Source organism: Homo sapiens, chromosome 8 (genome assembly GCF_000001405.40).
Source record: "Homo sapiens chromosome 8, GRCh38.p14 Primary Assembly".
In the NCBI taxonomy this organism is placed as follows: Eukaryota; Metazoa; Chordata; class Mammalia; order Primates; family Hominidae; genus Homo; species Homo sapiens.
In genome coordinates, this window is record NC_000008.11 from 76,700,861 (window position 1) to 76,716,299 (window position 15,439).

At 37.5% G+C, this 15,439-nt stretch overlaps 1 protein-coding gene across 2 annotated transcripts in view; it reads left to right on the forward strand.

The window, feature by feature from the left end:
* Nucleotides 1-15,439, forward strand: part of ZFHX4 (zinc finger homeobox 4) — a 186,035-nt gene that overhangs the window by 19,614 nt on the left and 150,982 nt on the right. Inside the window, exons 2-3 of one of the 2 annotated variants that reach the window (NM_024721.5) lie at nucleotides 3,183-5,818; nucleotides 6,686-7,188. In NM_024721.5, coding sequence (NP_078997.4) covers nucleotides 3,229-5,818; nucleotides 6,686-7,188 — 3,093 coding nt within the window. In that variant the 5' untranslated portion in view covers nucleotides 3,183-3,228. The remainder of the gene's footprint in view (nucleotides 1-3,182; nucleotides 5,819-6,685; nucleotides 7,189-15,439) is intronic. The other variant, NM_001410934.1, reaches the window with a different exon arrangement.

Here is a 15,439-nt window from a genome sequence, read left to right on the forward strand (position 1 = left end):
AGTTGGTGAACACTGAATAAAAATCACCTTAAATGGTGAAGGAACTTTTATAGTGAGTTAACTTGTTATGCAGTCATTTTGGAATTAATTCTATGGTTTAAGTTAAATGGTTGTTTTTGTGGTCTTTTTTACTGGGACTTATAAAACTTTATCGTAAATTTCTTAAATGGGTCACTTTGATAAAAGAAAGACCTCGTCTGACATTGACGACAGTGAAATCACTTAGCATCATATTCAGTGTCACTGTATATAAGGATCTAAATAACTTTTTATCTATACAAACTAAAGTGATTCCATCAGAATATACTGAAAAACATTGTCATGGTTGTAGCCAATAGCAACAAAATAAAAATTTTAAAATCAAATAATATATTATTAGCTATATCAATTTAGAGAGTTTTGTTATTGTTGGTTTTAGGATGAAATGTAAATTTGATTGTATAGAAGACAGGTATTTGACTTAGTTTCTGATTTATGTGTAGTTTATTGCGAAGAAATTGATTGGCAATTTTCTGTAAAATTGTATGGGAGTATTGTACCAAAATATATCCTACCATATTGCTTTGACCTATGATGGATTCTTTAAGGTGGTTTTCATAATTTTTTATATAGCAATAATGTTACATTTTGAAGGTGACTTCTGGCTCTTTTAAGTAAAAGAAAAAGATCGGATCTACTTTATGTAGAGAAACATTGAGATGATACATTGCAGGGTTTATTCCACATCTGGCCAAAATTGTTAACTGCACATTTTATGCAATTCATTTGAGTTGCATTTAGAATGTGTGTAATAATTCTAGCTAGTGACTGTATTTGTGGGATGAGAACTGTTTTAGGAGTGAAGATAGAACTAAATTCAAATAGCATACATAGCTTAGAAACTTTTTTACAAAGCTGTAAAATGTTGAGGAGCTTTCCTCACTCTTTCTAATTAAAGTGAATTTTTTTTACATATCAGATATGTGCATCATGCCTAGCAGGTTACCCTATCATTGGGGAAAATCACCCTCGGTTCTGGAACTTTACATTTTAATCTAGCATCATTAATTTAGTATTATTCACCACCTTGCATTCATTCCAAATTTCTAGTCTCTTTCTGACTCCCTCATTTCCTTCAGGCCAGCAAGAGATTATATTTTAGGCATTTTGGCTGCCTTCAGTATGAATACGTTATTTGTGCAGAATTGGCAAATGCAAAGATAAACATTAATGTTTATGGACTAATTAGAAAATTATTAGGTTTTCTTACTTATGATTATCAGATTATTTCAGGTGGTTTTGAAAGCTGTATGCATGCCATAAGGATAATTAACCTGAAGCTCATCAATGATTAAAATTAAAATTACACACTAGGGTTTGTGATGTTTGATTTGTGAGCAATTAGAATGTCAGATACCAAAACGAATTTTGAATTCATTTTCAGGGTCCCATCTCAGATACCAAAACGAATTTTGAATTCATTTTCAATCTATGCAGATCTTTTAATGTTTTCTAAACTGATCACTTTCTCTCTGATTGGCCTGACAAGATTGGATTTGATTACAGTAAAGAGAGTATTAATAAGCTATTCTTTATACTTCATATGCCAGTGACCTTCACTGATGTCTTTCTTGTATAAGAACATTTTAAAAGGGATTTCTAAAATGCTTAGTAATATTAGTGAACCCAATATTCTGTTTTGTTTTCTTCTAGTTCTCTGCCACTCTGAAGACTGTGTAATAAGGTATAGGGATGGGAGGAGCATCCAGGCTGAGATAGTACATATTTATCATAACCAATATGATATGCAATGTAATATAGCAACATTAATCTTTCTTGTTTTAGAAATTGTCAGGATATGTGAAAGTGTTGATACTTTTAAATTAAGGTGCTGGCCTTGAAGTTATGAGACTCTTCAAATTTAAGATTTGAAATAAGGTTGCTTACCTGTTTCATGAAATCAAGACAGTGCCTATGTTACAGGCCGAAAATAAACACAAGTTTCAGACCACTCCATTGTTGTGTACAGTGCCATCATTCTGCAAACTGAGAGATCTGCAGGGACTCAGAGAAGCTTAAGCTGTAATCAAACTGCTATTACAGTAGCTGAGGTTCTCAGGCAAGACACACACACACACACACACACACACAAACGAAGAGAATGAGACTTTTTACCAGTGTATGCCCAACTTTCACTAGTACTTTACCCTGCTGTCAGAAACTGATATGGCTTTTATGGAGTGCATCTTGTCCTCAACAAATAGGGTTTCTGGTCTAAGACGCCTGCTTGCAAAAAAACTTTAAAAAAAATGAAGGATTTTCATTGGGAGTGCTTGTGTGTGATTTGTTAAGCCAGGGGAGATGTCGATTGAGGCAGTGGTTGAGAGATGGGCAACTCACCAGGATTGGTAACATCAAAATGGTATTTGAAATGGTGTTCATTACGCATTGCAGTGAAAAAAACTAAGTGAATGTGATTGTCCCCTAGGATGATAGGACTGGTTGCAGTAAATATTAATTTCTGTTCTGTTGCCCATTGAGGTGACTGAAGTGTGGGGAGGAATTGTGATTGGTGCTTAATCAGGGCCAGCCAGATACCTGCTGAGAGCTTTTGCACAAGGAAGATTTGTAGTAAGCTGATTTACTGGCAAAATGAAAACCAGAGAAGTTTGGTCGGTGCTGCCTGTGGCTGTAATATTTCTAATTTTAAGGTTTCTTTATTTGTTGGTCTCCCTCCCACACTCATCTCCCCTTCTAGTCACTGCCTGATAAAGAAAAGGTAAATTTTTAGAATTATAAGTTATTTCTGTTGTTCTTTCATTCCAGCTGCTGTATACAAAAGCTATTTACATTCCTATTACTGCAAAGGGGGTTTTAGAGTGGTCACGTATATTGTGTATTTTTTTGGAAAACAGGAATGAAAAAACTCAGGATTATTGATATAAATTTTAGACTTCTTATGAATGCTCATAGCGACTATGAAAACACCTTGGATGTCTAGGCATGCCTGTGATAGCTATCTACATTATTTTGCTACATTTATACAAAGTCCGTCTGTGATAGATAGGCACGCCGGTTTTAAGTTTTTCCCCTTACCTTTTTAGATAGTCACGTTTACAGCAGCTGTAAATTAGTGATGGGCTATTAGTGAGCTGTGTCATTATTTAATAAAAATGGCTTCTCTCACCTTATTTTTTATCCAGGTCCCTGACAGGCTGGATGAAATGAGATCCCCATGTAGCAATTGCCATGGAAACCTGTGACTCCCCTCCTATCTCAAGGCAGGAAAATGGGCAGAGCACATCAAAGCTATGTGGAACGACACAACTTGATAATGAGGTGCCAGAGAAAGTTGCAGGGATGGAGCCTGACAGGGAAAACAGCTCCACAGATGACAACCTGAAAACGGATGAGCGCAAAAGTGAAGCCTTGCTGGGTTTCAGCGTTGAGAATGCAGCTGCCACTCAGGTTACCTCAGCAAAGGAGATACCCTGCAACGAATGTGCCACTTCTTTTCCCAGTTTACAGAAATACATGGAACACCACTGCCCTAATGCCCGCCTTCCTGTCCTGAAGGATGACAACGAGAGCGAGATCAGCGAGTTAGAGGACAGTGACGTGGAAAATCTAACAGGGGAGATCGTTTACCAGCCTGATGGGTCAGCATATATAATTGAGGACTCCAAAGAAAGTGGGCAGAATGCACAGACTGGGGCAAATAGCAAACTCTTTTCTACAGCGATGTTCCTGGACTCCCTGGCATCTGCTGGAGAGAAGAGTGATCAGTCTGCTTCTGCACCTATGTCGTTCTACCCACAGATCATCAACACTTTTCATATCGCTTCATCCCTCGGGAAACCATTTACAGCCGATCAGGCTTTCCCAAATACCTCAGCATTAGCAGGAGTTGGTCCTGTGTTGCACAGTTTCCGTGTCTATGATCTCCGACACAAGAGAGAGAAAGACTATCTAACCAGTGATGGCTCAGCCAAAAACTCCTGTGTGTCCAAAGATGTCCCTAACAATGTGGACTTGTCCAAATTCGATGGTTGTGTTAGCGATGGGAAAAGGAAACCTGTTTTAATGTGTTTCTTGTGCAAGTTGTCTTTTGGTTATATCAGGTCATTTGTAACCCATGCTGTGCATGATCATCGGATGACCCTCAATGACGAGGAGCAGAAGCTCCTCAGTAATAAATGCGTCTCCGCCATAATACAGGGGATTGGCAAAGACAAAGAACCTCTTATAAGCTTTCTGGAACCAAAAAAATCCACTTCTGTTTATCCCCATTTTTCTACTACAAACCTCATAGGACCCGATCCAACCTTCCGCGGTTTATGGAGCGCTTTTCATGTTGAAAATGGTGACTCTTTGCCGGCTGGCTTTGCCTTCTTAAAAGGAAGCGCGAGCACCTCGAGCTCAGCAGAGCAGCCGCTGGGGATTACCCAAATGCCAAAGGCTGAAGTGAATCTGGGGGGGCTGTCTAGTTTAGTAGTGAACACCCCAATTACCTCTGTCTCCCTCAGCCACTCATCGTCTGAGTCTAGCAAGATGTCAGAGAGCAAAGACCAAGAGAACAACTGTGAAAGGCCAAAAGAAAGCAACGTTTTACACCCAAACGGGGAGTGCCCTGTCAAAAGTGAACCCACTGAACCGGGAGATGAGGATGAAGAAGATGCGTACTCCAATGAACTTGATGACGAGGAAGTATTAGGTGAACTCACCGATAGTATTGGTAACAAAGATTTCCCTCTCTTAAACCAAAGCATTTCTCCTTTATCATCCAGTGTGCTAAAATTTATTGAAAAGGGTACCTCGTCCTCCTCGGCGACTGTTTCTGATGACACAGAAAAGAAAAAACAGACTGCTGCTGTTAGGGCCAGTGGCAGTGTTGCTAGTAACTATGGCATCAGTGGCAAGGACTTTGCAGACGCAAGTGCCAGTAAAGACAGTGCCACAGCTGCTCATCCAAGTGAAATAGCCCGGGGAGACGAAGACAGTTCAGCCACTCCTCACCAGCATGGCTTTACCCCGAGTACTCCTGGCACACCAGGGCCTGGAGGAGACGGCTCACCGGGCAGTGGCATCGAGTGTCCAAAGTGCGACACTGTGTTGGGGTCTTCGAGGTCTCTTGGTGGTCATATGACTATGATGCACTCGAGGAACTCATGCAAAACCCTCAAATGTCCTAAATGTAACTGGCACTACAAATATCAGCAGACCCTGGAGGCCCATATGAAGGAGAAACACCCTGAGCCGGGTGGCTCTTGTGTTTATTGTAAGACTGGACAGCCTCACCCCAGGCTTGCCCGGGGTGAGAGTTACACGTGTGGCTATAAACCCTTCCGTTGTGAGGTTTGTAACTACTCTACCACTACCAAAGGCAACCTCAGTATTCATATGCAGTCGGACAAGCACCTGAACAATGTTCAGAATCTCCAAAATGGCAATGGTGAGCAGGTGTTTGGCCACTCTGCCCCAGCCCCCAACACCAGCCTCAGTGGCTGCGGAACACCCTCTCCGTCCAAACCCAAACAGAAACCCACCTGGCGGTGTGAAGTTTGTGATTATGAAACCAATGTCGCCAGGAACCTCCGAATTCATATGACCAGCGAAAAGCACATGCATAATATGATGCTTTTGCAGCAGAACATGAAGCAGATCCAGCATAATCTGCACTTGGGCCTCGCCCCGGCGGAAGCAGAGCTTTATCAGTACTACCTAGCCCAGAACATAGGCCTGACCGGAATGAAGCTGGAAAACCCTGCCGACCCTCAGCTGATGATCAATCCATTCCAGCTGGATCCAGCGACAGCAGCGGCTTTGGCACCAGGGCTCGGTTAGTATTTCCTGCTTTTCTGCACTGTTGTTAGTTTCTAATCACATTTTGATTTGGCGTGATGCACCCAGATAAAATGGTGAGTGCCAACAAATTGAGGACAGCTTACTAGAAAGGACTTTCTCTTTAAGCTGGATAATCAAACCATTTGCTCTTCTGCTTCAAAGCGAAATTAACTTCAGAGAAGAAAGAGTTAAGGGATCAATGGCGGCATCAGCGAAGTTAGCAAACTTTGTCTTCATTCAGTAAGTTGATTAACAAAAGCTAATTTGCATTAATTGCCTGCCATCATTAGCCATACCTTACAAGGTTTATAGTTTCAATTTTGGTGATTATTCGCTAACATATCAAACGAGCTTTAAAAGGGTATAGCATTATTTTGAATTAAATATATTTAAGAAATATTTTAATGGCTGTGATCCAAGATAATTAATCTAACAATAATACCATTACCTTATCCCAGGTATTTGGCAGTAGATTACAGGCACGCATACAATATTAGCCAAATCTCATCAAGCTTTAAGACAAATTGGGAAATAACAATTAGTGCTTATGTAAGTTTATCTAGGCTCTTAAATTGAAAGCACGTGACTGTTTTGTTATGGTATTGATCAACTTTCTTGCCCTCGAAAATACAAATTTCAGAATGACATCATGCCCAGTAGGAGTAATTAAAGCTATCTGATGAGGGAATTTAGAAGTTGAAAGGGATGATTGTAATTGATCCTGATTGAATCCTATTACAGCTTTTTATAGTTTAAGCTCTAGAGAAAGCACATTCCTTGTCAAGACTTTATTTTACAGATTCCTTTGTGTGTGCTGTGTTTTCTAGTCTCTATTTTTCCTTTTAATTTTTTTTTCCTGTAGTAAATAATGAGCTGCCGCCTGAAATCCGGCTTGCCAGTGGTCAGCTAATGGGTGATGACCTGTCCCTCCTTACTGCAGGAGAGCTGTCACCTTATATCAGTGACCCAGCGCTGAAGCTATTCCAGTGTGCTGTTTGCAACAAATTCACCTCTGACAGCCTGGAGGCCCTAAGTGTGCATGTGAGCAGTGAGCGCTCTCTCCCTGAAGAGGAATGGAGGGCAGTAATTGGAGATATCTACCAGTGCAAGCTCTGCAACTACAACACTCAGCTCAAAGCCAACTTCCAGCTACACTGCAAGACTGATAAACATATGCAGAAATATCAACTGGTGGCTCACATTAAAGAAGGGGGCAAAAGCAATGAGTGGAGGTTGAAGTGTATTGCCATTGGCAACCCTGTTCACCTAAAATGTAACGCCTGTGACTATTACACCAACAGTGTGGATAAATTACGCTTGCATACCACCAATCACAGGCACGAGGCGGCCCTGAAGCTCTACAAGGTAAGCAGTGACATCCATTTCCGTTGGCACAGAGTAGAAAAGGGAATTAACTCTTTCAGAGCTTGGAGCACAAGTCTCCAACTTAAGGAAAAAAAAAGAGAAAAAACATCAAAGGGCAGGGGGCACAGTTTCTGATTAACATTATAAAAACATATTGAAATATATGGAATTGAAGGCTTTATTTATAAAGTTTTACCCTATGTCTCACTTACACCTGTCTCAGTGGCATTTATTTCTTCACTGGCTTCCCCAAAATAAAAGAATTTGGGGGATAGTGTTATATATAAAATAATACTTTTTAAACCTATTGATTTTTTTTTTTTTTGAACCTAGCACCACTCTTGGCTAAATGTAAATGGTTACAGGGAGCAGAAGACAAAATCAGTGCCTAACCTTGTGAATGCATAATATTTTGTTTGGTGACAAACAATGACGCTCCAAACATAATGTTTGTTTCTTTGTTTTCTTGTGTGTGCTCAGTAGCACTGAGTAAACACACTCTCCCTTAGCATCCTTGGAAGTCTCTAAAAGTAAATTCTGTTGTTATTTTGTATGACTGTCTTCCTATCAATATTTTCCTCCTAAATGGGTGTGGTATAGATAAATATGCTTATTTATACAATGCTTTATACAATGGCAAATATACTTTTATCTTTACTTGGAAGACTGTGCACATGTACTGAATACGTGCAAGTGATGAACACCATTTATTACAGAACTTGTCTTGACTTTTTCTAAACCCTAATTACTGATTAATATATTTTCTGCAGTTTGTTCACTGGATTGTCTTGATTGTCTTGGTTCATGTACAAATATAACACATTCATTACTATGATGAATAACTTGGTAACTTATTAAAAACTTCTTTTTGTCTAGAGGATATTAAAATTCAGAAAATATTGCAAACCATTAGTCATTGTAACAAGCTCTAAATATGATTACAAAATCCATTTTGCAAGTGTTGTCTATTGATTTGTACTAGAAATCAGTGTTAACTATACTATCAGGAGTCAACCAGTGATTATCAAACCTACGACTTTTCTAACACTATTTAAAATTATAACCACACATGAAAAGAGCAGGTTGAGGCCGTTTAGATTAGGTGAAGGAATTATTTATTTGGATTTGTCTAATACTATGTGTTTGGGTTGTTTCTTGAAGTTGAAATTCTAGATAAATGTACTGTGCATAAAATCCTAACGACTCAGTGTGAGAATTTGTAGCACTCTTCCTGTGATATTGGCACTCTGTGGATCAATAATGAAAGCATTAGATTTGGGTTACGTTACAGAGTTTGAAGGGAGTGCAGGCCCTAATGTGAGATGGAAAGCTTCTAAGTTGACAGTATTGAAAATATAATATAAAGGATTAATTGTATTATAATTCATAGGTTTTGCAGCAACAGTTGACAACTGTTCAATTGTCTACTTTTTTCTGTTGATACCTGGCCTATTAAAACTTTTAAAATACCTAGGAGAGAAAAACAAACATTAAGTTTGTATAAATAATAGATTTAGACCCTGGGAGCTATATAGAATATTCATGAACTGTGTTTATATTCATGCAGCTCCTCTAACACTTTAAATTAACATGTTGTGAATGGAAGATATAAATGTATAAATTTTCTATTTTTTAATCTTTTGTGGGAACCTAAAGGAAGGTGGGGTGTTATTGTTTATTTTTTCAGAAAACATTTAATCTAACTGCTTGATGATTATTTAAATGTATGTGTGCGTGTGTGTGCGTGTGTGTGCGTGTGTGTGTGTGTGTGTGTGTGTGTGTGTAAGTTTATCCATTCATTCCATAAGCAGGGATTGACCACCTCATTCTCTTCAGGGCAATTTGCTTGGTGCCACAGTTACCCTTGAAGTTCCTTTTCATGGAGAGTTGGATGTTGTCTTTGAATTTATAACAACCAATTAAGACAAAAGCATGATTATAAAGAGGGCCTTAAAGCAGAGAGAGCTTCAGATCCCACAACTGAAAGGTGTACTCTTTCCTTAAAAATGTTATAAATCATATAAAAATTTATTCTTCTTTAGTTGTTTATCTCTTAAATACCTAAGTATCCTTGTTCAGTACAATGTTTAAATATGGTCAGCAAATAAACTTTGAACAAACTTATCTTGAATTAATAGAAGATTGAAGAGATAAATATTTGAGCTATTGAGACTTGGTATTAGAAAATTGAACTTTATTCTTTTGCATTTTCTTTCAAGAAACATTCATTATTTCTACTAGTAACTGAAAAAAATATTCCAAGTAGCATTGTGTTGAGGATTCCACCTCTAAACTGATTTCAGAAACTGTGAATCATAGAGGATTTTCAAGTGCAGTAATGAGGATATTAGCAAGCTTGGTTGGCTTGTGTTGGCAAAATAAAAGTGGTTCATAAGTAATATTAATTGCTTTTAAATGAGAACGTAACAACTTGGCCTGAGCCTAGAAAAAAATGATGGTGAAAATATTAAAATTAGACTTAAAATAGTTTCAGAGTTAGTGGCTAGACAGTAATCTCCTCTATAAAATTCATTTTCATTAGGAGTTTAATTTACATCATTTTGCATCATGAATTATTTAAACATTAAGGGGAAGTGACAAGTAGCAGTTATAAGACAAATACAGAGCTGCGAGAAAACAGCTTGTCTTGTTATTGACAACATATTGATTCATAACACTAAATGTGGTGATGTGTCATTTCAATTTGAATAGGCCACTTTACCTCTTGCATTGTCAAACTGAAGCAGCATTACCTAAAAGTGTGTCCTTATTCTAGGTTAAGGAGGTTAAAAGTTAAAGGTTAAGGTTAGCTTAGAAGCATCATCTGCCTGGCTGCTTGACTTGAAACTGATCAATGTAATGAAAATCTGTTTTACAGATGTTGTTTTTAATATATTTGGCAGGATTTAGGCAGCTTTAACATTAGATGTATGCTAGTAAAAAATATTTATTTATTTAACCAGAACAACACCTTTCCTTTTATATTTAAGGTAGAAGGCTTGTGGGTTATGGTATTTTGGCAAAGAACCCAGAGGCAGAATGTGTTGATGATCTTTCCATATGGACTCAAAAAAAAGAATACCTTTATGCCTATTGCTAATGATGACTGCAAAAACAAACAAAGCTATATTCATTTTTGGCAGCATTATTTTCCATAGAATTTTTTTAAAAGCAATTTTGTTACTGTTAAGAAAATCTTACCCATTTCTTCAAGTGAGAGTCTCTGAAGTGCTAAGCACTACTAAATTTGGACTTTTCCTCCAGAAATTTGATTGATGAAACAAAATTGCTCTAGGAAAATAAAACAATAAGATGAAACTGAAGATTGCCCATAATCTTTACTTTTAATGTTTGAATATGTATTCAAAGTGAGATTAATAAATACAAAATATATAGCTAGCTACAATCAATCTTGCAAAGTGAATGTGTGTGTCTGTGTGTGTATAAAACAGCAGTTTTTCAGCTAACCCATTTATTAGATTTAATTATATTCTTCTAATTTCATGTGTTCCTATTCTTTACAAATTTTAGTCAGTTGATAAAATAATTGGTTCTCAATAAATATTTGTAGAATGAGTGATGGATTAACGAATCAACTAAGGAACAAATTAAAGAAACTCCTTTACTTCCAGCCTTTATTTTTCAAAAATGCACTGTAATTTTGTCTACCCCTTAAATGATCTCCAACTTCTTCTAAAGAGTCTAGTAAAAAGATATAATGAAAACCACAGAGCACTACACGTTCAAATTGAGGAAGAACAAATGAAACTGGCAATATTTCAGATTTACAGTTTAGTTTGTTCTTGGCTCAGTATGGCCAAGACTTTTCTGGCCAGCTGATTGGTCTAACCACCATTCAGTGCAGGACATAGAAATACTCTTGCTGCATCTGTACTTCGGCTGCTCTTTTAATATTATATGTATTTATAAGTGAGGTGTTCACAGCTTTGCTTGTTCAAAGTCAAAGCCTTAATTATACTACCTCTTTTTTTCCTTCCTGCATCTGCTAGTAGTGAAGCAGAGTAGTCTGTCTGAATTCCATAATGCCTTTTTCATATTTGGATATCAAATTGACTGAAAGCAGTGAACAAATTGCCTGTCTCCATGGTGAGCAAAGGAACACACTTGGGATTTAGTCCTAGGTAACTTTTAGTGTAACATTCCCCCGTGGAGCATTTTTTGGGTTTTTCTCATTATCCATGTTATGGATTAAAGAATCCTGGTTAAGAACTAAAATCAAGGTGTTGGGGAGGCCCACAGAGGAGAATGCAAGGAGGCATATTGGGAACAGTATGTGTAAAGGAAATTTAAAAAATGGAATAATTAGGTTCATCTACCTTTTTGTGCCTTTTTTTTTCTTAGTAGGAAATAATAACCCGATCAGTTTGGAATTAACAGTCACAGGTATTTTCATTTCAATAGGCCTGAATCCAACTTTGCAATTTAAAATCAAATATACGAGATATGTACCATTTCAATTATTGAACTGTCATTGTCCCGGTGTGATGGTAAAGGAAGTCAGGAGATTGTGTGGTACACATTTACATAAAAGTCATTGTGTGAAAAAAAATTGGAATATGTGTGTGTATCTAAGAAACCAAAACAAGTTTTTCTTAATCTTATTCTAGTCATTTGTTTAGATGAAGAAAGCTGTTTTCAGAGATAAACAAAAGTTATTCTTTTCTGTTACTAAACATTAACCTGAATATGAAAATCTTTGCACTTTTGTATTAGTTTCAGATTTATGTTCATTTCAAGGTTGAAATGCAGTGTGAAATTTAATTCCAGTTGCAGGATTTGTTTTAAAAAAAAACTAATCACAGTTCAAATTATTCTATTGTATTCTTATATAAATAGACAGGGCAGAGATTGAAAAAAAACAGTTTCTCTAGTAGAATAGTACATACTTGCATAATACTTATAACTTATAAATACATGGATTAAATAAAGAGGAGTTGGTTTGCTAATAGCAACTAATAAATCCCTGGTGTTTTCAGAACAAATGCAATTGGCCAGCCCTATCAACTATGTCTACTTCTGTTTTTAAGCTTGACTTTTGCTGAAGCACGGCTATGTGTTATAACATGGCTACTTCAGCACAAATATGGACTTTCTCACTGCATTCACATGTCAAGTAATATATTACATTGTGAGCTGAGAACCCTCTTTGTACCATACCAGAAAAGAAAAGTGACGAAAAATCTGTCAATCAAAGGATAGAGAGATAGATAGAAAGATAGATAGATAGATAGATAGATAGATAGATAGATGATAGACAGATAGATAGATATCAATCCCTAGGAAGATTGACTAAGACCAGGCATTAGCAACTTACTACATCCATGTCAGGATAGATAGAATGATTTTTATTGTGTGAAATTGTTATCAAACCCAGACAAAATTTAAAGAAAGCAAAGTGTGTTATTAGAACCCACCTACTCTATTTTCTGTATGTCTTTTCTTAACCAACGCCACCGTCTGCCTACACATCAGGAAAATACTCTTATGCTCTTTTCTGTTTTCCTGAAATCCTTACTGTTTTACCCCACCTAGGTCTTCTCTTCATGGAAATATCCCATGTTGCAAGATTACCTATCTAATTCCCCACAGAAAACTAGCGTTCTTTTAATTAAGGGGAATGAAGCCTTTTTATAAAAGCAGAGTCGTGCCTCCAAAGGTGTAATTGACTTAGAAGTCTTTTTCAGCGTGCATTTTTTAAAAAGGAACTGCCTGATCTGGAGGAATTTCTAATGTTTGTGTGGAGTGGAGTGATTATGTCAGGGATTGGGGTTAGGTAGGGCAGTGCCCCTTCTTAAGAGCTTTCTTCATTTACTCCTGAACACACACACACACACACGACCACCACCACCACCGCCACGTACCACCACCACCACCACAACAACAACACACCACACCTCAGAAACAGAGTCAATTTGGCACCCCCATTCATGTCAACTCCTACTTTATGATTTACATTACATTTTTTTGTGTAACTTGTGTTCATTCTATTTCATGTGAAGTGCAGGTATGATTTAATCAAAAGAGCTAAATTGCTCATTTATCACCCACCCTGAGGTCATTTAGGTAATGCAGACAAAGGTGTTCTCTCATAATTAATGTGCTCTCCCTGTGTGTTTCTGTGGCTTAAATGTAATAGTCCCCGTCATTGGAGCTTGTTTAAAATTGCTGAGATGTTCAAGTGGGTGTTGGGACGCCATGCCATAATGCAGTGAAAGTCATATGTTAACCAGGCCTCACACTGCTGAAAGGGTCTTGGCCCTGGGTGGAGTGAGGAGGAGCTGGCATGTGTATAATGACCGTGGTTCTGCTTCCAGAACATCTGGACTTCCTGAACTTTGCTGGAAATGTTGCTGGAAATTCAAGCCTTAAAAGGTGCTTTCTGCCTGCCCCCCAAATTATCAGCCTATTCCAGGAGAGCGTATGGGAGGATTTGATTTGTTTGAAAGGTGAAGGACAGGCATGGAGGCACAGCCACCAATAACCGTGAGGAAACACCTTCACAGATTCTATAACTCAAGAGGATGGCGATTAGTATAACAGTCACAAAGGCCACCATTCTGTTAGCAGAATACACAGACGATATCTCAATTTTTACTTCTGGTAAATATAGAAGCACTTATTGAACACTTACTATGTGAAAGGTTTTGAAGTGTCTGGTATGGTGGCTGTGTCCCATTGATGTGATGGAATATAAGCCATCTTTCTAAGTGCTGCTCAGAGACAAAGAGTTTTCTAAGGTGATACTTCCTAACTCATTCTGCTCACCAATATTATGGGTTACATTTGGTGCTTAGATGTCGGGGACATTAAAGTTGTTCAGAGTTAAATCTATGGACGTAGTCATCAAGAGTTTCCATGCATTTTTTCAGCAATGTTTAGTCAAAGGGCTGCATGTGAGTGGTCTTTTGAGTCATCAGTAGATGTAGTATAATGTCACTTCTGTGTCTTCGCTTACTTTTATTGCCCTATTGCATAGCAAGACTTTATTTATCAGTTTTAGACAACGATTATGGTGGGAACTTGAGGGCAGGATAGAGCTTTTCTACTAGTTAGGACATATATGTAGTTTTCAAACATGAGGATGTTGCTACTAATGCATCTCCTAGAATATGAAGAAGAAAACCACATAATAAAGAATGCAGGCCAGGCGTGGTGGCTCACGCCTGTGATCCCAGCACTTTGAGAGGCTGAGGTGGGTGGATCCTGAGGTCAGGAGTTCGAGACCAGCCTGGTGAAACCCTGACTCTACTAAAAACACAAAAATTAGCCAGCAATGGTGGTGCGCACCTGTAGTCCCAGCTACTCGGGAGGCTGAGGCAGGAGAATTTCTTGAACCCAGGAGGTGGAGGTTGCAGTGAGCCGAGATTGCGCCACTGCACTCCAGCCTGGGCAACAGAACAAGACTCCATCTTAAAAAAAAAAAAAAAAAAAAAAAAAAAGAAATGCAAAATGTGTCTAATTACAACTACCATCCACCCCTTTAAATAACCAGGATAAAAATGTGGTATAACTCTTGGGAAACCTCTGTAAATTCAATTTACAATAAGGTCAATGAAAGTACTGCTTAAAGATACATTATTGTAATGACCAGTTACAGTGTTATTATCACAGATAAAAACAGTTGTTGTGACCATATTTTATTTCACTTGGTTTTACACCATTTTATTAACATTTTATTTTCCTTATCTTTAAGGAAATTTTGTAATCTTGAACTTACATAAATTAAATGTGCATACATAAATATTAAAGTGTATGGAGATCATATTCTTTTGATTTAGAATTTCCTATAGACTTTATTTCATTGTAAGTACTAGCATAAAATATACATTTCTCTCTTCTGTTGCTTAAGGGGTTAGTGTTAGGACTATATTTTTCCATCAAGCAATTTTTAAGGAGTAGTGCAGAGAAAGGTTATGATTGAAGAACTATTTGTTCCTCGATATCTGCTAATAAAATTATTGGAATGCAGGGCTGAATGTGGGAAGAAATGATCTATTGATAAATCCAACTGTAACAGTTAACTCCAGTTTGGGAGGAAAGCTTTTAAAGCTTTAAAATAATGATTTGTAGTCTATGATTACATGTCCTTTTGCAAGAAGGCCTCATTTATCGATAGAGTTGGCAATTTACTATCTATATAAAATTTATGGGATATTCAGAAGAATTTTACAAAAAAAAACCCTCCTGATGCCAGATAATCTGTCAACAGTGAACCCATATTGACAATTGA